At 40.6% G+C, this 22555-nt stretch overlaps 1 protein-coding gene and 1 long non-coding RNA gene across 8 annotated transcripts in view, besides 1 other annotated feature; one reads left to right on the forward strand and one right to left on the reverse strand.

Moving 5' to 3' along the window:
* The window catches only part of SLC26A8 (solute carrier family 26 member 8), an 81126-nt gene that overhangs the window by 49368 nt on the left and 9203 nt on the right, over window positions 1–22555 (reverse strand). For all 6 annotated transcript variants that reach the window (XR_926055.4, XM_011514294.4, NM_052961.4 and 3 more), the window contains exons 3-5: window positions 19350–19489; window positions 7109–7225; window positions 4855–5036 (exon numbers count right to left, since the gene is read on the reverse strand). Coding sequence is in view for 5 of the 6 variants with exons in the window: in XM_011514294.4 (XP_011512596.1) it covers window positions 4855–5036; window positions 7109–7225; window positions 19350–19489 (439 nt within the window). In the remaining variant the exon portion in view is untranslated. The remainder of the gene's footprint in view (window positions 1–4854; window positions 5037–7108; window positions 7226–19349; window positions 19490–22555) is intronic.
* Window positions 217–730: an enhancer, noted in NCBI's record as "OCT4-NANOG hESC enhancer chr6:35960877-35961390 (GRCh37/hg19 assembly coordinates)". NCBI's record gives its function as "activates a minimal SCP1, AML or CMV promoter by ChIP-STARR-seq in primed H9 embryonic stem cells {active_cell/tissue: H9 hESC(primed)}" and the evidence as "EXISTENCE:reporter gene assay evidence [ECO:0000049][PMID:30033119]".
* LOC105375034 (uncharacterized) lies at window positions 4975–19390 on the forward strand. Of its 2 annotated transcripts, XR_926746.3 has the most exons (4): window positions 4975–5080; window positions 8892–9048; window positions 18084–18211; window positions 19269–19390. It is a non-coding gene; the product is annotated as an uncharacterized LOC105375034 (long non-coding RNA). The 2 variants fall into 2 exon arrangements; XR_926745.3 differs by lacking the exon at window positions 4975–5080 and having other exon boundaries at window positions 8500–9048.

Genomic DNA, 22555 nt, shown 5'->3' on the forward strand with positions numbered 1-22555 from the left:
ACTACTCCTTTCCTTCTTTGTGAGCAGTCAGCTCACTTAAGTTCTTGCCCTAGAATCTACTGCTCTCTAGGTTGACTTGGGGAAAACAGGGACAAGGTGATCAGAACAAGCCTTTGCCTATTTATTTATTTATGAGACAGGATCTCACTCTGTTGCCCAGGCCGGAGTGCAGTGGTGCAATCATAGCTCACTGTAACCTCAAACTCCTGGGCACAAGGGATTCTCTGCTTCAACTTCCCAAATAGCTGGGACTACAGATGCTCACACTGGGCATTTTTTTTTTTTTTTTTTTTGATAGAGATTGGAGGGGGGGGTCTTGCTATATTACCTAGGCTGGTCTCGAACTCCTGACCTCAAGTGATTCTCCTGTTTTGGCCTCCCAAAACCCTGGGATTACAGGCATGAACGCACTGTGCCTGGCCTGCCTTTGCCTTTTTAAACCTCTTTCATTAGAAGCTTTGATAGCCCTTTTCAGGAGATGTTAACATTCCTCTGAGGAATGCAGCTTTTCACAAAGGAGAAGAGAATTTCAAAACAGTGGGATCGAGCTCAAACTTCTTGGCCTTTGACTCTTATCTTTACTGAGAATAATTAAATTGAATTTATTTATGTTTTCAGGATTATGCATATCCTGAAGGAAAATAAAAAAGGTATTTTACATGTCAATATGCATATGTAAAATTTATGTTATATAGTATATAATAAAATTTTATACACACAGGATCTAAAAGGATAGACCTCAAATGATTAACAGGAATTACCTTTGGGGAATGGGGTTAGATGTTGGGGACAATATTTGATAATTTATACACTTTTTTACTATTTGAGATGTTCGTCTTTTATAATAAAAACCACAATTAGGTTGGGTGTGGTGGCTCATGCCTGTAATCTCAGCACTTTGGGAGGCTCAAGTGGGAGGGTCGCTTGAGCTCAGGAATTTGAGATGAGCCTGGGCAACATGGCGACACTTTGTCTCTACAACAAGAAAAATAAAAAACAAAAAGAGGGTAGGTTAAGAAAACTGGCACAGCCCAATGAAGACTTTTCAGTAAGCAGGGTGGAAAGGAGCAAAACAGAAGTCTTAAAGCTTACAATCATCACTTCACTCTCCACTCCACTAAAAGCTCTCAGAAAACAAACAAATTTGGAACAATAAATCATTTTGCTTTAACAGGTTTTTGTTTCAAAGCTTTCAATCAGCCCGGCACTGTGTCTCCCTTTTTTTTTCTTTTCTTTTTTTTTTTTTTTTGAGACGGAGTCTTGCTCTGTCGCCCAGGCTGGAGTGCAGTGGCGTGATCTCGACTCACTGCAATCTCCACCTCCCAGGTTCACGCCATTCTCCTGCCTCAGTCTCCCGAGTAGCTGGGACTACAGGCGCCCGCCACCAAGCCCGGCTAATTTTTTGTATTTTTAGTAGAGACAGGGTTTCACCGTGTTAGCCAGGATGGTCTCGATCTCCTGACCTTGTGATCCGCCCGCCTCGGCCTCTCAAAGTGCTGGGATTACAGGCGTGAGCCACTGCGCCCTGCCAACTGTCTCTCCCTTAATCTCCTGTCATTGCCGCCCAATGTTCTATTTTACTCTAGTCAGGCCAGTCTGCTTCCTATTTCTTGCGTGACTGGCTGACTCCTACTTCTGTGCTTATGCATGAGCCCCTCTTTTTTCCATCTCTGCCAATCCATGTGCATCATCTCTTTTTTTTTTTTTTTTGAGACGGAGTCTTGCTCTGTCACCCAGGCTGGAGTGCAGTGGTACAATCTTGGCTCACTGCAACCTGTGCCTCCCAGGTTCAGGTGATTCTCCCACCTCAGCCTCCCGAGTAGCTGGGATTACAGGTGCCCAGCACCACGCCTGGCTAATTTTTGTATTTTTAAGTAGAGACAGGGTTTCGCCAAGTTGGCCAGGCTGGTCTTGAACTCCTGACCTCAAGTGATCCACCCGCTTTGGTCTCCCAAAGTGCCGGAATTACAGGCGTGAGCCACTGTGGCTGGCCTGCATCATCTTTCAAGAGCTCAGTAAAATTCCTCTCCTTTAAGGAGTGTGGTGAAAAAAGCATGGTTCCTGGGCTTGGAGAATCTGGCTTCAGTCCTGGCCCAGCCACTCATTGGCTGTGTAAGTGTGGGCAAGTTAACTCTTTGAACCTCAGTTTCCTCATCTATAAAATGTGAATAATATTCAATGTAAAGTGTTTTGAATAGATTAAATTTCATCACACATGTAAAATACCTAGCTCAGATGTGAAAATAGTGACAAATATGTATCACTCATATATGCAAATATATGTTACTCTTCTTCATACCATCCCTGCCTTCCATCTTGTAAATGGCAAAAATCTGCAATTGCCTTAGAACTCTTTCTTGCCCACTGTAATATGGCATCACGTTCAGTGTTAACATAATATTCTAGGCAGCCACTGTTAATCAGTCAGGGTTGGCCTGTGAGATGAAACCTATCTGCCATTCTTATAGGAAGCCAGTACTAAATGTTGAATGAATGAAAGGGAGGGCTCAATAAATAGTTGTTTCCTTCCCAGATAACTTCGACTCAACTAGAGGTTATTTTTTAACTTCATGTTCTTTTGGCACTAAACTCTTATATGAATATTATTTTATGCTTAAGATTTCCTAGAGCACAGATTCTACAATCAGACAACCCTAAAACTGAATCCCAGTTTGGTGTCTTAGCTATGTGACCTTGGGCAATTTTCTTAACCTCTCTATGCCCTTGTTTTCTTAAAATAAGGACCATAGTAGTGTGCTACAGGCGTGCACCACCACACCCAGCTATTTTTTTTTTTTATTTTGTTTTGTAGAGACAGAGTTTGCCTATGTTGCCCAGGCTGGTCTCAAACTCCTGGCCCCAAGCAATCCTCCTGCTTCAGTCTCCCAAAGTGCTGGGATTACAGATGTGAGCCACCATGCCCAGCCCTCTTCCTTTTTTAGATGAAAAAAGCTGAGGCTTGAAGGAGAAGAGAAAGCATGCATGAGGCCCCTTGATAATTAAAAGGTTGCTTGTGTATTTTGTCTTATCCCACAAGATTAAACTTTTTAACCACAGGAAACTATATATTGTTTTTTAAATTTTTGGTCTCTGTTAAAGTACCAAATTCATTTCTCTGTGCCCACTAATTATAACTTATTGATGCTTACTATGTGACAAGCTCTAGGCTAAATACTTTGCATGCATTTTTTTCACTAAATCCTCCTAAGAACCCTGCAAAACAAATATTATTCCTGCTTTATACATGAGGAAACTGAGGCCCACCAAGGTAAAATAATTTACCAAAATTCACACAGCTCATAGTGTCAGGGCTGGAGTCTGCCCACTTTGATAGCCTGCCTTTGTAGGTACCCAATAAATCTTTACTTAGTGAAAGACAGTCCCAGGGGAGATCAGTGAAAATCAACTAGAGACTGGGTTAGTTGAGAAAAAAGAGAAATAAGCCTGGAGGATGTGACTAGTTCAGTAGATGAACTTTTGGTGATAGACTCTCAGAGGAAATTAAAGACAGAGCCAAAATAAGTTTTGAGATTTTAATGAGTCATTCATATTATTGTCCTTTAGCTGTGGTCCTTGTCAATGCAGAAAAAGGATTCCAGATCTGGCTCTAAAGCTTACTAACCCAAAGATAGTGTGTGAGCCTGTGAGGCCATCATTATTTTTATTATTATTATTATTTTGGAGACAGGGTCTCGCTGTGCCACCCAGGCTGGAGTGCAGTGGCATGATCACAGCTTACTGCAGCCTCAACCTCCTGGGCTCAAGTGATCCTCCCACCTCAGCCTCCTGAGTAACTGGGACTACAGGCACATGCTACCATGCCCAGCTAAATGAGTCCATTCTTGTTGATAGAATATAAAGCAACTTTTGGCTGGGTGCAGTGGCTCACACCTATAATCCCAACAGTTTGGGAGGCCGAGGTGGGTGGATCACCCGAGGTCAGGAGTTCAAGACCAGCCTGGCTAACATGGTGAAACCCCTTCTCTACTAAAAATATAAAAATGTGCTGGGTGTGGTGGCATGCACCTGTAATCCCAGCTACTTGGGAGGCTGAGGCAGGAGAATCACTTGAACCTGGGAGGCGGAGATTGCAGTGAGCCACGATTGTCCCATTGCACTACAGCCTGGGCAACAAGAGCAAAACTCCATCTAAAAAAAAAAAAAGAATATGAAGCAATTTTTGAAAAGGTAAGATCAGGAGTGGAGCTCTGGACTAAGAGTCCCCAGACCCCTGGGGCCACCGACCAGTACTGGTACTGGTTTGTGGCCTGTTAGGAACCGGGTGCTGCACAGCAGGAGGTGAGCAGCAGGCAAGCAAGCATCACTGCCTGAGCTCTCCACCTTCTGTCAGATCAGCCACAGCATTAGATTCTCAGGGAAGCACAAACCCTATTGTGAACTGCACATGCGAGGAATCTAGGTTGCATGCTCCTTATGAGAATCAAATGCCAGGTCATCTGAGGTGGAACAGTTTCATCCCAAAACCACCACCCTCCCTGGCCCCGACCTGCCATTTGTGGAAAAATTGTCTTCTTTTGCAACTGGTCCCCGGTTTCAAAAAGGTTGGGGACCACTGCTCTGGACCATCATCCCTTAGACCCTTTGTCTTAGAGGTGAAAGGACTGAAGAGAATGTTTAATATCTCATCCTAAATCAGTGGTAGATGATTTCTGAGGAGAGAGAAGTTTTGTCACTAAGGAGACACGCTATTCACACAGCCTCTGATTTTTCAAAAAATAAATCACTGAAGTTCCAGGTATATCACAGTGGATCACAGGAGCAGTATAAGGAAGGGGTCTGTTTATAGCCCCTTTATTCAGTTCCTTTTCAGGGATTTGAAGACTCAGATCCTACCTGAATAATCCCAGTCAGAAAAGTTGTGGTTGCCACCACACTCAAGGATTTATTATAGCCCATAAGGTAGGAGGGGGCCGAAAACTCATTCTTGACGAAAGATCCCATGACCAGTTGACCGTTGTTGAATGGGCTCACTTTCAGAACGTTGATCAGCAGAGCACTCACCAGGAAGAAGGAACCTGTGGAAGAAGATGTTAGGTAGAAGGTGAAGTTTCAAGTCCAGGTAAACTGATATTGACAAAAGCAAGGTATGGTTGAATTCTGGATTGTCCTTCAACTGAATAACTTTTCTCATTTGAAAGTGGCCATTGAGAAGTAAGAAAAATCAAAAAAGAGAACTGTGTCTCCACATATTGTGACCAACTCATGGGATTTAGATGGTGGTGGTTTAGGTATTTAGTCTCTTTGTGTTATGGGTATGTTGAGTGGAATAGAGAAGTTGACTGAAATGGGTGTCAGGCTCAGCTGCTGTGTCTGCTCTTAGAGAAGGTTAAAAGTGAGATGGCAGTGAAAATATTAGAAAAGAAAGCAATCACCGGGCATGGTGGCTCACGCCTGTAATCCTAGCACTTTGGGAGGCTGAGGCAGGTGGATCACCTGAGATCAGGAGTTTGAGACGAGCCTGACCAACATGGAGAAACCCCGTCTCTACCAAAAATACAAAATTAGCTGGGCATGGTGGTGCATGCCTGTAATCCCACCTACTCAGGAGGCTGAGACAGGAGAATCACTTGAAGCCAGGAGGCAGAGGTTGCAGTGAGTCGAGATGGCACGATTGCACTCCAGCCTGGGCAACAAGAGCGAAACTCCATCTCAAAAAAAAAAAAAGAAAAGAAAAGAAAAGATAATGAAGCAATCAATAACAATAGGAAGAAAAATAATACTGACACTGAGGTAAATTAAACTTATTTCAAACATTGTTTTGTTTAGTCCTCATATTGTCATAACACATAAGAGAGCAAAGATATATCTTAACTTTAAATTTACCTAACATAAATAAATCTCTAACAACCCTTATTATAAGTATTTGGAAATGATTGTGAGGTTCCTCAGAAACTTGGAAATATAGGAATAAAATTGTTTTATTGGTGTTCAAATGTAAAATCAACACATAGCAGATTGAATAAAGACATGAGCTATTCTTTATTTTTATTATTTATTTATTTATTTTGAGACGGAGTTTCGCTCTTGTTGCCCAGGCTGGAGTGCAATGGTGTGATCTTGGCTCACTGCAACCTCCACCTCCCGGGTTCAGGCAATTCTCCTGCCTCAGCCTCCCAAGTAGCTGGGATTACAGACACCCGCCACCACGCCTAACTAATTTTTTGTATTTTTAGTAGAGGTGGGGTTTCACTATGTTAGCCAGGCTGGTCTCAAACTCCTGACCTCATGATCCACTTGCCTCGGCCTCCCAAAGTGCTGCGATTACAGGCATGAGCCACCGTACCTGGCCAAGCTATTCTTAAAAAAGGAAAAGTAGCACTTCACGTCTGGAAGGATGGGATGTTAATCAGACTGAACATAAAAACATATATAAAGAATGTGTCATTCAGAATGGTAAATGTTGGTGGATTGGTCAGTTCAGTGGAGAAATCCAGGAAAAGGCACATCACTGAGTAAATGTTGGCAATGACCTTCTAAACTTATGGGGGAATTTTGTGATTTGATTTCTATGCAGGCTCACCTAGGTGAAGTAAATGTGCTGATCATATGACCTTTAATTAGTCTGGCCTCTGTAATAGTTATTTCTAATTATAAATTAGTAGATGGACTTTTGACTCAGGGAAGGGAAGTACTTATCCTATGGATGTCAGTGTTTTGATTACTGTGATAACATTTTCTCACTGTAAATTAATAAGCTGGCATGCTGTATTACAAGTCAGCCCATGGAGTTTGGTTATTATGGTTCAGATGAAAGAAGTATCTGCTCTAGGAGTATTGACACAATCATTCCTGCATCTTCTGGGTTGAGGGAAGTCAGATTCCAATGTGTGATGATTTCTTAAGGAAAGTACCTCTGCCCTTTAATTTCTTTGGGAAACATCTTGCTGGCCTGTTTTCTGGTGTTGACAATAATGATACACTAGAAGTATTTATTTCTACAATCTGAACACTAACTGTATGGATAGAATGTCCACCTCCTGCCTCCTTTCTTTCTATCTTAAAGCTTTATGTTGGGTACCTTAGCAATAAGTATATGATCAAGATGGAAACTTCATCCACCGCATGTGTATTTCAGTGCTGAACTCACCAATGGACATTTGATGACACGATCCAAAAATTACATAGATTACCGAAGAACAGAAAGCTGCATAAGCGATGTTGAGAGGAGGAATCAGTTGCCTTGCCAGCAAACTAAGTGTCAGGCCTGAAAAACAAGATAATTTAAGAAAAAGCAGCTTGTCTTTAAAAGTCACCTTAAATAAAAACTGTAAAGAATATTTAAAATAAAAATCATCCATGTGTATAGCTGACTGAGTGTGGTAATAGTATTTCTGGACATACAATCCTTCATTAGCACTTTTTATTATCTTCTTTGATTCCTAGCTTCTCTTCCTATTTTGCCACATGCTTTTACACTTTAATTCAATATCATAGGCTGAAACATCATTCACTGCAAGGTCTTAATACTAAACATGTAAAGCAAATACCATAGCAATAAGACCCCTAATTCCAACAGCTCAAAAGCAGCCCCATCCTTATGCCTAGTCTAGCACAAGCAGGCCGTGGGAATTCTCCAGGGCTGAAGATAAAACTGGAGAGCAAGGCAAGAATCACACTTCACTGACTTGAAGTTGGTATGTGTTGGTTCTCTTCCATAGGCCAATCACTCCAGCCTCTTCCTTCAGCTGCTTCTCTAATACTTACTTTCTTTTCTAAGAAGCACCATGAGAATTTGGAAATTTTGAAGCAAATGGACTAACAGGCATAGTGTCATCCTTTTGATGTTTCAAGCCCCTATTTCCTTCCCTAAGAGTCTGTCCTCAATTTACATCATACTGATATACTCATCTAAATTCAGTTATGAATTTAGTGAGGTGGTTTATTGTCTTAGATAAGCAAGGCTCCTTTTTATAAGACATTTCAAACACATCCAAAAATAGAGTATAATGAATTCCATATACCCATCATCCACTTCAACAATGGTTAACCCATAACCAATCTATGCTTCTACTCCTCTCTCACCCTATATTACTTTGAGGCAAATCCAAGGCATTCGATTATTTAATCTGTAGATATTTTGGTATGTGTCTCTAAATGATAATACTCTTCTAATTTAAGTACAATATCATCATTATCCACTCAGTGTTCAAATTTCCCTGATTATCTTACAAATGATTGTTGTGGTAGAGGGTCTCTAATATGATCCACAATGGCCAGTTGGTATTCTTTTTCTTTTTTTTTTGAGACGGAGTCTTGCTCTGTTGCCCAGGCTGGAGTGCAGTGGCGCGATCTCGGCTCCCCGCGAGCTCCACCTTCTGGGTTCATGCCATTCTCCTGCCTCAGCCTCCCGAGTAGCTGGAACTACAGGCGCCCACCACCATGCCCGGCTAATTTTTTATATTTTTAGTAGAGATGGGGTTTCACCGTGTTAGCCAGGATGGTCTCGATCTCCTGACCTCGTGATCCACCCGCCTCGGCCTCCCAAAGTGCTGGGATTACAGGCGTGAGCCACCGCGCCCAGCCAGGCCAATTGTCTTCTTGCCCTTGTACAATTTCCTCCCCATTAAGTGTGGAATAGACTTAACCAATTTGTTTCTAAGGAGTAGACTATAACAAAAATGACAGGATGTCACTTCTGAGATTAGGTTGCAAAAAGACTTTGGTTTCCATCTTGGTTGCTCTCTCATTCAGGTCATTACCTGCCAGAGGTGGCTTCAAAGGTTTGTAATCTATGCAGTCAAGACAGAGTCCTGGGCTTAGAAGGACTTTGCACTTCGTTTAATGCTTTGCTGTCACTGTCTTGAAATTCTGAATAATTTTTGAACTAAGGGCCCTGTGTTTTTATTTTGTATTGGGCCCAACACATATAGTTGGTCCTGCCAGCTGCCATGTTGTGAATATGGAGAAGCCAGAATGGGGAGGAACTCAGGCCTGCCAACAGCTGCATGAGTGAGCCTGGAAGCAGATCCTCCAGCCTCAGTAGACCCTTGAGATAACTGCAATCTCACGAGAGACCTCGAACCAGAGGTATGATGAGTTTTGGGGTGATCTTTAAAAAATTATTTGCTGTTACATGTTGTGCTTTGCTTCACAATCTGTGTGTCTAAATCAGAACCCAAATATGGTCCTCACATTGGTTGATATGTCTCTTAAGTCTCTTGTAATCTATAGGATTTTTTCACCACATTTTTTCCCCTATGCAAGGCTCTATTGATTGCAAGTAACAGAAAATCTACTCAAATTAGCTTAAGCAAAATAGGAAATTTATTAAAAGGGTACAAAGGGCAGTTAGACCTCATCAGAGACTGGAACCGAACTAAAAAGCCATCAGAATCCAAGGTTGCTACCTTCCCATTCTCTTTGTTTCCAGGGTTCATGGTATCCTGTCTTTGTTTCCAGTTTGGGGCTATTATGAACAATATTGCTATGAATATTCTTGTACATGTCTCCTGGTACATGGATTTACAAGTTTCTTGAGAATATATAGCTTGAATTTCAACTTCTGGGGCATTTACTAAATAGTGCCAAACTGTTTTCCAAATGGTTGTGCAATTTATACTCCCACCAGTAATGTATGACAGTTCCCATTATCCACATCTATGCTAGCACTCGATACTGCTAGATTTTTAATTTTAGTGTGTATGGTGGTAACTCATTTCAATTTCATTTTCCATTTTATTACTAATAATGTTGAGCACCCTTGTCTAGTTATTTTTATGGATTTATAGGAGTATGTATATTATAAATAAAGCCTTTGTTGCGTATTGTTTTGCAAGTATCTCCCATTTTGTGATTTGCTTTTCAATCTTTTTTTTTTTTTGAGATGGCATCTCTCTCTGTCTCCCAGGCTGGAGTGCAGTGATGATCTTGGCTTGCTGCAACCTCCACCTCCTTGTTTGAGCGATTCTCCCACCTCAGCCTCCTGAGTAGCTGGGACTATAGGCGCACGCCACCATGCCCGGCTAATTTTTGTATTTTTAGTAGAGACGGGGTTTCACCATGTTGGCCAGGCTGGTCTCAAACTCCTGACCTCAAATGATTCACCCACCTCAGCCTTCCAAAGTGCTGGGATTACAGGCATAAATCAGTGTGACTGGCCGCTTTTCAAACTTTATAGCAGCTTTGAATAGATAGAAGTTCTTAAATTGTACTTACCTCAGATTTATCGGTCTTTTCCTTTGGGCTTTTCCTTTTGCTTTTGGTGTCTTACTTAAGAAACCTTTTTCTACCTCAGGATCATAAAGATATTCTCTTATGTTATTCCAAAATGTCTTTTTTGCTTTAACTTTTACATTTAGGTCTTTAATCAACCAGGAATAGATTTTTGTGTATGGTGTGAGGTAAAGGCCTGAAATGTTTTTCTTTATAGAGACCCAAGTGTTTTACATCATTTGTCATTAACAGCCTGTCTCTGTAGTGACATATCTGATACACATCATGTGATTCATATACGTGTGACTCTTTTTTCTGTTTCATTGGCCTAATTGTCTATCTCTGCAATATTGTACTGTGTTAATTGCTCTAATTACTTTAGTAATAGTTTTGGTAATTAATTTAGTAATCTCCATTTTTATTGTGAAATATAACATGCATGTAGAAAATGCATTAAAATAGATTAATAGATGTCAAGGTTACTTAATATTTATAAAACAAACACTTACGTAAGTACCACCCAGGTCTTTGATTACAACACCACCTCTCCCCACAGAAGGATTCCTTATTTTGGCGTTTATGATAATAATTTCTTTTCTTTTCTTTTTTTCTTTTTTTTTTTTGAGACAGAGTCTCACTCTGTTGCCCAGGCTGGAGTGCAGTGGCACAATCTTGGCTCACTGCAAGCTCCGCCTCCCGGGTTCACGCCATTCTCCTGCCTCAGCCTCCTGAGTAGCTGGGATTACAGGTGCCTGCCACCACGCCCAGCTAATTTTTTGTATTTTTAGTAGAGATGGGGTTTCACCATGTTAGCCAGGATGGTCTCGATCTCCTGACCTCATGATCTGCCTGCCTCGGCCTCCCAAAGTGCTGGGGTTACAGGCGTGAGCCACCATGCCCGGCCTATTTCTTTGCTTTTCTTTACCAGTAGTGTACGTATCCCTACACAATACAGTTTAATTTGCTCCCATTTTGAACTTTATATTAAGAGTTATACTGAACACAATTTTATTTCTGCTTTTTTTTTTTTTTTTTTTGAGACAGAGTCTCGCTCTGTTGCCCAGGCTAGAGTGCAGTGGTGTAATCACAGCTCGCTACAGCTTCAACCTCCCAGGCTCAGGGAATCGTCCCACTTCAGTCTCTCAAGTAGCTGGACTACAGGTATGCACCACCATGCCCATCTAGATTTTTTGTAGTTTTCATAGAGACAGGGTGTCACTGTGTTGCCAGGCTGGTCTTGAGCTCCTGGGCTCAAGCAGTCCACCCGCCACAACCTCCCAAAGTGCTAGGATTATAGGCATGAGCCATTGCACCTAAGCATAACTGATTGTTATATGCTGATTTAGTATCCAGCAACATTCATAAAATCTTACTATTTTCTTTGTTTTTCTTTTTTTATGCCTTTTTAAAATTTTTTTTGCTTTTAAAAAAGTCATATCAATTTTCTTTATATTCTTTTGAATTCTTTGCATAAAAATCATCTGTGAATAATGAAGCTTTATTCATTTATAATTCTTATACTTTGTACTTCTTTTTCTTGCTTTAATATACTGTGTATGCACTCCATTATAATGTTGTAATGTTGAATAGCCCCTATTTACTTTTTTTCTTTTTTTTGTGTGTGACTGTCTTGCTCTGTCACCCAGGCTGGAGTGCGATCTTGGCTCACTGCAGCCTCAACCTCCCAGGCTCAAGTGATCCTTCCACCTCAGCCTCCCAAAGTAGCTGGGACTACAGGCGCTTGCACCACCACACCTAGTTAAATTTTTTTTTTTTTTTTTTTTTTTTAGTAGAGACAAGGGTTTCACCATGTTGCCCAGTCTGGTCTTGAACTCCTGAGCTCAAGCGATCTGCCTGCCTTGGCCTCCCAAAGTGCTGGGATTACAGGCATGAGTCACCACACCTGGCCCCCATTTACTCTTGAAAAGCAGCGTGTAGCATGAAGAAAAAATCTTTTGTTAGTTTTAAATAACTAACCAATGCTGGGAAGGTAAGAGAATTACTGGGTTAACAATCTGAGAATTAAGTTATCTAGTCTCATTTAAGTTTAGGCCATAGTGAAATAGAGGGAATTAAAATTTCCAAACTTTCCAACACCTTAAAATTTTCAAAAATTTTAAACTAATTTTAGAATTACAGAAAAGTTACAAAAATAATGCAGTTTCCATATATCCCTTCCACAGCTTCTCCTAATGTTAATATTTTATATAGTCATAGTATATTGATCAGAGCTAGGAAATTAACATTAGAAATTAAAAACTTTATTTGAATCTCATCAGTTTTTTTACTAATGTCTTTCATTTTGTTCTAGGATTCTATCCAGAGTCTCACATTTCATTTAGTTGTTATTTCCCCTTATTCCTGCAATCTATAACAGTTCCTTAATTTTTACCTGTCTTTCATGACTTTGACAAATTAAGAGTATTAATAGATCAGTTATTTTGTCAAACACTCCTCAATTTCGGTTTGTCTTATATTTCCTTATGATTGTACTAAGGTTATACACTTTTGGCAAGAATACTACAGAAATGATGTTGTATCTTTCTCATTGTATCATATCACAGGATTCATGATATCCATATATTTTACTACTGGTGATGCTCACATTAATCACTTAGTTAAGCTATTTTCTCCTAGGTTTTCTATTGTAAAGTGGTGGGGTAGTTAATAAATATCTCGAGGGAGATACTTTGAAAATATGCAAATCCTGTTTCTTAGTTTGCAAATTTTCACCCACTGGTTTTAGCATCCACTGGGTAGATTTTATGTACAATTATTACTGTAGTGTTTTCATGAAGGTGATTTTGTATTTTCTTCTTTAATTCTACATTTATAAATTGGAATTCTACTGTAAGGAAGATCCAGCACCTTTTTAATAAGGTCTTCATCATATAGTATTTTTGTTTCATTTGAATAAAATTATTGTCATCAGGTATTCAAATGTAAGTACAATTTTTGAATTATTCACACTACAAATTATCTTATTATTCACATCAATTAAACTAATGTTCAATCCCTTAATCAAGTATTAAGAGCTGGTTGGATTCATTCATTCATATAGCTATGAAATCTTTTTTTTTTCCAATGGAGTCTCGCTCTGTTACCCAGGCTGGAATGCAGTGGTGTGATCTCAGTTTACTGCAGCCTCTGCCTTCCAGGTTTAAGCAATTCTCCTGCCTTAGCCTCCCGAGTAGCTGGGATTACAGGCACATACCACTACACCTGGCTAATTTTTGTATTTTTAGTAGAGACAGGGTTTTGCCATATTGGCTAGGCTGGTCTCGACCTCCTGACCTCAAGTGATTCACCTCCCTCAGCCTCCCAAAGTGTTGGGATTACAGGTGTGAGCTACCATAACCAGTTATGCAATCATTTTTATTCAACAAACATCTTTTGAGTACCTACTATGTGCTAGGTGTTGTGGTGAATGCTAGATATTACTCTAATGCCATTCTTATTTTGATACAAGATTATACTGATGACTTTTTAATTTAGCAATGGGATATCCTCCAACTTTGGTCTTTATTTAAATATAAGTAGAAACTGGCAGGGGGCTCATAGTTAAAGCATCAATTCCAAGAGTTTAGCTGTCTCATTGCAGCACCATAGGAATATGCTAGAAATTTTATTCATAGAAATAAAGTGACTATGTTAATACAAATGGGCCATTTTGGTTGTAGCTGCCACATGAAAATTTCTTTTTGCAGGAATGCAACTAGCACATATGGTAACTTAGTGTGAATACTCTCATTCTGAGAATGCAAGGCTGGTTCAATATTCAAAAAAATCAATTAATGTAACCTGCCATATTAATCATCTAAAGAGAAAAACCACATGGGCCTTATCAATAGATGCAAAAAAAATTTCACAAAATACAACATTGATTCATGATAAATTTCTCAGCAAACTGGAGTAGATGAAAACTTCCCTAACCTAATAAAGGACATCAACAAAAATCCTACAGCTAACATCATACTTAGTGGTAAAAGACTGAATGCTTTCCCCCTATGTTCAGGAAGAAGGCAAGAATGTCTATTCTCACCACCCTTATTCAACATAGTATTGGAAGTCTTAGCTAGTATAACAAGCAATAAAAAGTCATTAAGGCCATTCATATTAAAAAGATAAACATAACTGTCCCTATTAACAGATGACATGATTGTCAATGTAGTTAATTCCAGGGAATCTACAAAAAATTCTTAGAACTAATAAAGGAGTTTCAGGATACAAGAAAAACACACAAATATCAATTGTATTTTTATATGCAAACAATGAATAATTGGAGACTGAACCATCATTTAAACCCCTAAAATGAAATACTTTGGCACAAATCTAACAAAACACGTAGGATCTCTATGCTGAAAACTACAAAAGGCTGATGAAGGAAATCAAGGGACCTAAATAAATGGAGAGACACCATAATCATGGATTGGAAGACAGCATAATAAAGATGCCAATTCTTCCTGAAATAATCTATAGATTTAATGGAATACCTATCAAAATCTAAACAAAAACCTTTTTTGGTAAATTTAGATAAGCTGATTATAAAATGAATACGGAAGAATAGCTAAAACAATTTTGGAAAAAAAATTAGCTGGAGGAAGCATATCACTCAACCTTAAAACTCACTGTCAAGATATGGTATTGGTAAAGGGATAGACACATAGATCAATGGAACAGAATGAAGAAAATTTAGGAGACTCACACAAAAGATGCCTATTTGATCTCTGACAAAGGTGCAAAAACAATTCACTGGAGGATATTCTTTAAAAATGGTGTTGAGGCTGGGCGCGGTGGCTCACGCTTGTAATCCCAGCACTTTGGGAGGCCAAGGCGGGCAGATCACGAGGTCAGGAAATCGAGACCGTCCTGGCTAACGCGGTGAAACCACGTGTCTACTAAAAATACAAAAAATTAGCCAGGCATAGTGGCAGGCGCCTGTAGTCCCAGCTACTCGGGAGGCTAAGGCAGGAGAATGGCATGAACTCGGGAGGCGGAGCTTGCAGTGAGCCGAGATTGAGCCATTGCACTCCAGCCTGGGCAACAGAGCGAGACTCCGTCTCAAAAAAAAAAAAAAAAAAATGGTGTTGAGGCCGGGCATGGTGGCTCATGCCTGTAATCTCAGCACTTTAGGAGGCCAAGGCAAGAGGATGCTTGAGGCCAGGAGTTCTAGACTGCAGTGAGCTATGTTCACACCACTGCACTCCTGCCTGGGTGACAGAGCAAGATCCTGTCTCTAAAAACAAAACAAAACAAAACAAAACAAAAGCTCAAAAATTAACAACAAGAAAAAAATAAAACCTCAGTGGAAAAATAGGCTAAGTACTTGAACAGACCCTTCAAAGAAGATATGAGGATAGCAAGTTAGGCACATGAAAAGATGTTCAACCTCATTAACCATTAGGGAAATGCAAATTAAAACAATGATGAGATACCACTACGTACTTCTTAGAATGGCTAAAATAAAAGATACTAAAAACGAGCCTATCAAAATCAAAACTTTTGCTCTGGAAGACTGTTAAGAGTATGAAAAGGCAGGCTCCAGACTGGGAGAAAATATTTGCAAAACACAAAAGACAAAATAACTAGTATCCAGAATCTACAAAGAATTCTCAGATCTCAACAGTAAAAACATAATTTAACTAGAACATGGGCAAAAGACGAGAAGAGCCATTTTATGAAAATAACAGATGGAAATTAGCATATGAAAAGGTGTTAAATATCACTAGCCATTAAGACAATGCAAACTAAAACCATAATGAGATATCACTACATGACTATCAGAATAGCTAAAATAAAAAATAGTGACAACAGCAAATGTTGGTGAGGATACAGAGCAACTGGATCACTGATAGATTGCTAGTGGGAAGGTAATATGTTAAGCCACTCTGGAAAACAGGTTGGTGAAAAAAGGCAACAGGCAACTCCTATATACTCCAGCAATGTACTACACTCCTAAGCATTTATCCCAGATAAATGAAGACTTAACATTTATTTTAAAAACCTGCACATGAGGCCAGGCGCTGTGGCTCTTGCCTGTAATCCCAGTACTTTGGGAGGCCAAGGTGGGTGGTCACTTAAGGTCAGGAGTTTATGACCAGCCTGGCCAACATGGTGAAACCCTGTCTCTACTAAAAGACAAAAGTTAGCTGGGTGTGGTGGCGTGCGCCTGTAATCCCAGCTACTCAGGAGGCTGAGGCAGGAGAATTGCTTGAACCCGGGTGGCAGAGGTTGTAGTGAGCCGAGATCGTGCCACTGTACTCCAGCCTGGGTGACAGAGTGAGACTGCCTCTCAAAAACAACAACAACAACAACAACAACAACAACAAACCTGCACATGAATGTTCATATCGTCTATATGTGTAATAATAAAGCCTGGAAGCAATCCAGATATCCTTCAATGGGTAAATGTTTAAATGAACTGTGATACATCTATACCATGGACTATTACTCAAAAATAAAAAGTTATAAACAATTCATATATACAACAATCTGGATGAATCACCAAAGAATTATGAGGGAAAAAAACCAATACCAAAGGGTTATATGCTGTATGATTCCCTTTAGATGACTTTCTTGAAATGTTAAAATTATAGAAGTGAAGAACATATTAATGATTGCTAGGGATTAAGAGGAGTTAGGGACAGGAGGCAGGTAGTGGTGGCTATAGAAAGACAACTTGAGGAATCTTTGTGGTGGTGAAAGTGTTCTCTATCTTGACTGAAACAATGCTGATATCCTGGTTGTGAGACTGAACCATAGCTTTGCAAGATATTACCATTGGGGAAACTGGGTAAAGGGTACATGGGTTCTATCTGTTGTTTCTTACAAACGCATGTGAATCTATAATTATCTCAAAATAGAAAGTTTGATTTTAAAAATATTGACAATATCAAGTGCTGATGAGGATGTGGAGGAAATGAAATTCTTATGCTTGCAGCTGGGGATGTAAAATGGTAGAAAAACCACTCTGGAAAACAGTTTGGTGGTTTCTTATAAAGTTAAACATACACGTACCATGTGACCAGTGATCCAGCTCCAGCTTAGTAAAATGAAAACTATGTTCACTCAAAACCTGTACGTGAATGTTCATAGCAACTTCATTTGTGAGAGACCAAAACTGGAAACAAAATGTCTATCAACAAGTGAATGGATAAACAAGCTGCGATGTATCCATATAGTAGAATATTACTAAGCAATAAAAATGAACTATTGATACACACAACAATTTGCGTGAATCTCAAAGGCACAATGCATAATGAAAGAAGCCAGCCTTTGAAATTTACATACTGTATGATTCCATTTATATGATGTGCTCAAAAAGACAGAATTATGGTGCTGGAGAACAGATCAATGGTTGCTAGGGGTTATAGATTGGGGGGTATGTGGCTTAAAAAGCATGGCATGAGAGAGTTCTGGAGGTGATGGAACTACTCTGCATCAATTGTGGTGGTGGTTACACAAATCTATATATGTATTCTTTTTTTTTTTTTTTTTTTTGAGATGGAGTCTCGCTCTGTCACCCAGGCTGGAGTGCAGTGGTGCGATCTTGGCTCACTGCAACCTCCACCTCCTGGGTTCAAGCAATTCTCCTGCCTCAGCCTCCCAAGTAGCTGGGATTACAGGTGTGTGCCACCATGCCCAGCTAATTTTTGTATTTTTAGTAGAGATGGGGTTTCACTATGTTGCCCAGGCTGGTCTCAAACTCCTGATCTCAATCAATCTGCCTGCCCAGGCCTCCCAAAGTGCTGGGATTACAGGCATGAGCCACCAGTCCCAGCCAAGTGGGTTAAAATCAATCTGAGTATACACCAAAAGGGGAAAAAAAGCGCCAATTTTACTATTTGATAATTTAGAAACAAATAAGTAAATAAAGATTTAAAAAGTTATCTGTTTTCCCCAATTAACAGTGCTGTGCTAGAGTTGGATTTCAGCCACAGCTTGTTCATGTTCTTGACCTCTTTTGTGCTATCCACAACCTGCCCGATCACAAGCTTCAACCCTGCCTGTTGAGCCTCAGAAAAATAGAGAAATGGAGGTATTTAAAGACTATCTGGGGAACTATAAACTACTGTGAGTAAAGGATTTATAAAACCCATTCTATTTTTTGAGGATGAATTTGATCTGGGGTTAACTTTCTAGCTCTGTTTCCCTGGAAACCTTATAATGGTAGAACGTCAGCTGTGTTACCGGGCAGAATTGCTTATGGTAAAAATGAACCCAAATAGTATATTCCATCTGGACCAAGAGGACTGTGAATGAAAGATAAATATCCAGTTGGAAGCCCTACCTTTGGGATTCTCTGAGCATAGTGACTCTTACAACTGGACTTGCCCATTGTGGGACTCTGGAAGCAATATTTATGGCACTGTTACAAAGTTGTTGATTCCTATTTGGGAAATGAGTTTTTAAAGCCCAGATAAGCTCCCACACCTATCTGTGTGATCTTGTTGTCTTACATCTGAACTGCTACTTGGAAGACCAAAGAGTGAGCACTGGATTGCTTGTCACTTGCTGGAGAGATGCTGGCATGCTATGTTTCCTATCCTTCACCTTTTTTTTCTTTTCTGAGACAGGGTCTTGCTTTGTTGCCCAGGCTGGAGTGCAGTGGTGTGATCACTGCTCACTACAGTCTCGACCTCCTGGGCTCAGGTGATCCTCCCACCTTGGCCTCCAGAGTAACTAAGACTACAGGCACACGTTACCAGGCCCCGCTAATTTTTGTATTTTTTTGTAGAGACAGAGTTTCACTGTGTTAGCCAGGCTGGTCTGGAACTCCTGAGCTCAAGCAATCTGTCTGCCTTGGCCTCCCAAAGTGCTGGGATTACAGGCATGAGCCACTATGCCCACCTATCCTTCCCCTTTCTAGGTAAAACCAATGCCAAGTGAGATGTATTATAGCCATAAGCATGAAATAACTAGTGAAGGGAAAAAATAACAAAGAGTGGGTGTTACAAATACTCTGGAAAGCATTCAGGGGTCTAAAGTAAACCAAGTCTTTTGGAACCACCCTGGAGAGGTTAGAAATCTGGCAGATAAGGGAACAAATGGTAATGCTGTGAATAAAATTCAATATTTTTTTTCTATTCATGTAGCACAAGTAATTGTTTACCCTGGGCACGTGGACAAGGTCTGATACATTGTCTTTGGATGAACAGGCTTCATATCTTCCTTACCTTGGGGAACTTGCACAAGGCCAACACTTATACCAGCAAGTAAGTCTCCCAGAAGCCAATCCTTTAATCGATACATACACATCCATTCTAGGAAGGGAAAGATTGTAAGCACGCATCGTAGGAACCTGTGCCATGAGCAGCTGTGAGAGAGAGGAGCAGAGACTTGGTTAGTTTCTCCAAAGAAAATGCCCGCATAGCCAAGAAAAGGCATTTGGCCCACATAGCCAAGAAAAAGTAGAGTCTTGTCAGCACTAATGAGAGTTTGACATATTGGACCAGATAATTCTTTGTTGTTGGGCTGTCCTGTGCATTGCAGGATGTTTAGCAGCATCCCTCGTCTCTACACATTCCCACATTTGATATCAGTAGAACTCCCCGCTTCAGCTGTGACAGCTAACAATAACAATGTCTCCAGACATCGCCACATGTTCCCTGGGGGACTAAATCACCTTAGCTTCAGAACCAAGTGCTATGTATATGTCAAGAACTAAGCCATATACGTCCAGCATGTAATCAGTTCTGTGTTTTCACAGGATATTTGGGAAGAATTAAACCTACCAATTTTCCAGTAGAAAAATGGACTGCTGTTGTTTTCTTTTGACAAGGACAGTGTTTTGAGGTGTGACATTGATAGGTGGAAGGGCAGTTAACACATTCATGTTATTCCCAATTAGGAGAGTCCCCAAGTGCGAGGCAGGTGCATAAAGTGTGTTCTTTCTAATTATGACCCTCTGTGGAGGAGAGGAGAGCATGGAACTAAAATTTTTACCAAACATTTACTCTGTCTGGCCTTGACCTGTGACATGTAGAAATTAGTAGAAAATAGAGAATATGAAGTCCTGTGCTTAAGGACTTAGTTATGTAAGGAAACAACTTTATAAAATAAGACTTTATTATCCTTTAGCCCAGTAGATCTCAACTAGGTGCAGTTTTGTTCCCCTGTGTACATGTGGCAATGTCCAGAGACTTTTTTTTTTTTTTTTAGATGGAGTCTTGCTCTTTCGCCCAGGCTGGAGTGCAGTGGCACAATCTTGGCTCACTGCAGCCTCTGCCTCCCGGGTTCAAGCAATTCTCCTGCCTCAGCCTCCTGAGTAGCTGGGATTACAGGCATGCGCCACCATGCCTGGCTAATTTTTGTATTCTTAGTAGAGATGGAGTTTCACCATGTTGGCCAGGCTGGTCAGGTGATCTGCTCGCCTCGGCCTCCCAAAGTGCTAGGATTACAGGCATAAGCCACCGTGCCTGGCCCGGAGACATTTTTGATTCTTGCAATTGGCAAGTGGGTAGAGGCTAAACATCACAGAATACACAGGCCAATTCTCCACAAGAAAGAATTTTCTGGTCCAAAATGTCAATGATGCTGAGATTGAGAAAACCTGCTTTAACTTTTAGATCATCTAAAACAACAGAATCATCATTAATCAACCAAGAAAACCAATTTGGTTTTAAATTGTTTTTCATTATTTAGATTTTAGCAGGGGTTGAAAGTAAAAAGTATGAAGATTTTTCATGTGTAAACTGAGCTAGATAATTGGGATTTGACTACAACAACAAATATAACTTTAACGTAGTCAGGGCTGAAGTGCATGCTCAGACAAAAAGTAATTTTACTTATGTTTTACTGTTACAACTATGGCATTACTATTGCTAAGGTAATTAATGCCAAATAAATATGACTTTACCAAGGTCACAGGAATAAGTGTGAGTAGAGATGGGGCTAGAAACAAGGTCCTTGATTTCTAGCTCAGTGTTCTAGCCACTCTCCTGCCTCCAAATTTCCTATTGGCAGCTGTGAAATGCTGCTCGGCAGCCATGAGTAAGACCATTGGTTTGGAAGGAACATCACATTGCTGTTCTTAGGAGAGTCCCTGGGTGTGTGGCAGGTGTACAAAATATGCTCTTTCTAATTATGAGCCTCTGTGGAGAAGAGTAGAGCATGGCACTGGAACAGTTTGTTCCTTCACCTGGTTCAGTCTGCCTTCCTCTCTGTGTGTCACTTAGGGAAAGACCAGCCAGCCACCCAAGGCAAAGTCATCAAAGCTCTTCCCCATGGTGAAAAATACAATGGACACGGAGTGATGAGGCTTTAAGAGTGACAGAAACTAAGGAGGGAATTAGAGGAATGGAAGTTGAAGCTGACGGGGGAATAATATTAGCATTTAGACATGAATCTGGATTTCAGTTAAGACATCTTAAAAGTGAGAAATGGAAGAATCAAAATGAAAGCACAAGGGAGATTTTGATAAGAGGGGGGATTTGCAGTTGCTAAAGAGGAAGAAAATGAGGAAAGCTATTAAGAGGTTTTCTGCAGAAAGGAAGAGATGGGGTTAAAAGATTATTTCATTTACATTAAAAAAACTCACTTATGGCCAGGTGCGGTGGCTCATGCCTGTAATCCCAGCACTTTGGGAGGCCAAGGCGGGCGGATCACAAGGTCAGGAGTTCGAGATTGGCCTGGCCAATATGGCGAAACCCCGTCTCTACTAAAAATACAAAAATAAACGAGGTCTGTAGTCCCAGCTACTCGGGAGGCTGAGGCAGAAGAATCGCTTGAACCCGGGAGGCTGAGGTTGCAGTGAGCTGAGACAGCGCCACTGCACTCCAGCATGGATGACAGAGCGAGACTCTGGCTCAAAATAAAAAAAAAGAAAAAAGAGAAAAAAAACCTCACTTATCTAGTGCTATTTCCTAGTTGCTTTACAAATACTCTTTAAATCCTCACAATCACTTTACGAGGCAGGTGCTATTATCATGTTGATCTTACAGATAAGGAAACTGAGGCACAGCAGAGTTGAATAGCTTACCTAAGGTCACAAGGCTGAAAAGCAGCAGGACTAGTATTCAAAATCAGGCAGCCCAGTTTCAAAATTGTGCTTTTTTTTTTTTTTTTTTTGAGAGGGAGTCTCACTCTGTAGCCCAGGCTGGAGTGCAGTGGCGCAATCCCAGCTCACTGCAACCTTTGCATTCCGGTCCTGGTTCAAGCAATTCTCCTGCCTCAGCCTACCGAGTAGCTGGAATGACAGGCACGTGCCACCATGTCCAGCTAATTTTTGTATTTTTAGTAGAGACGGGGTTTCACCATGTTGGCCAGGCTGGTCTTAAACTCCTGACCTCGTGATCTGCCTGCCTCGGCCTCCCAGAGTGCTGGGATTACAGGCATGAGCCACTGTGCCCAGCCAGAATTGTGCTCTCAAGCATTGTGCTGT

Source organism: Homo sapiens, chromosome 6, assembly GCF_000001405.40.
Source record: "Homo sapiens chromosome 6, GRCh38.p14 Primary Assembly".
Taxonomy (NCBI): Eukaryota; Metazoa; Chordata; class Mammalia; order Primates; family Hominidae; genus Homo; species Homo sapiens.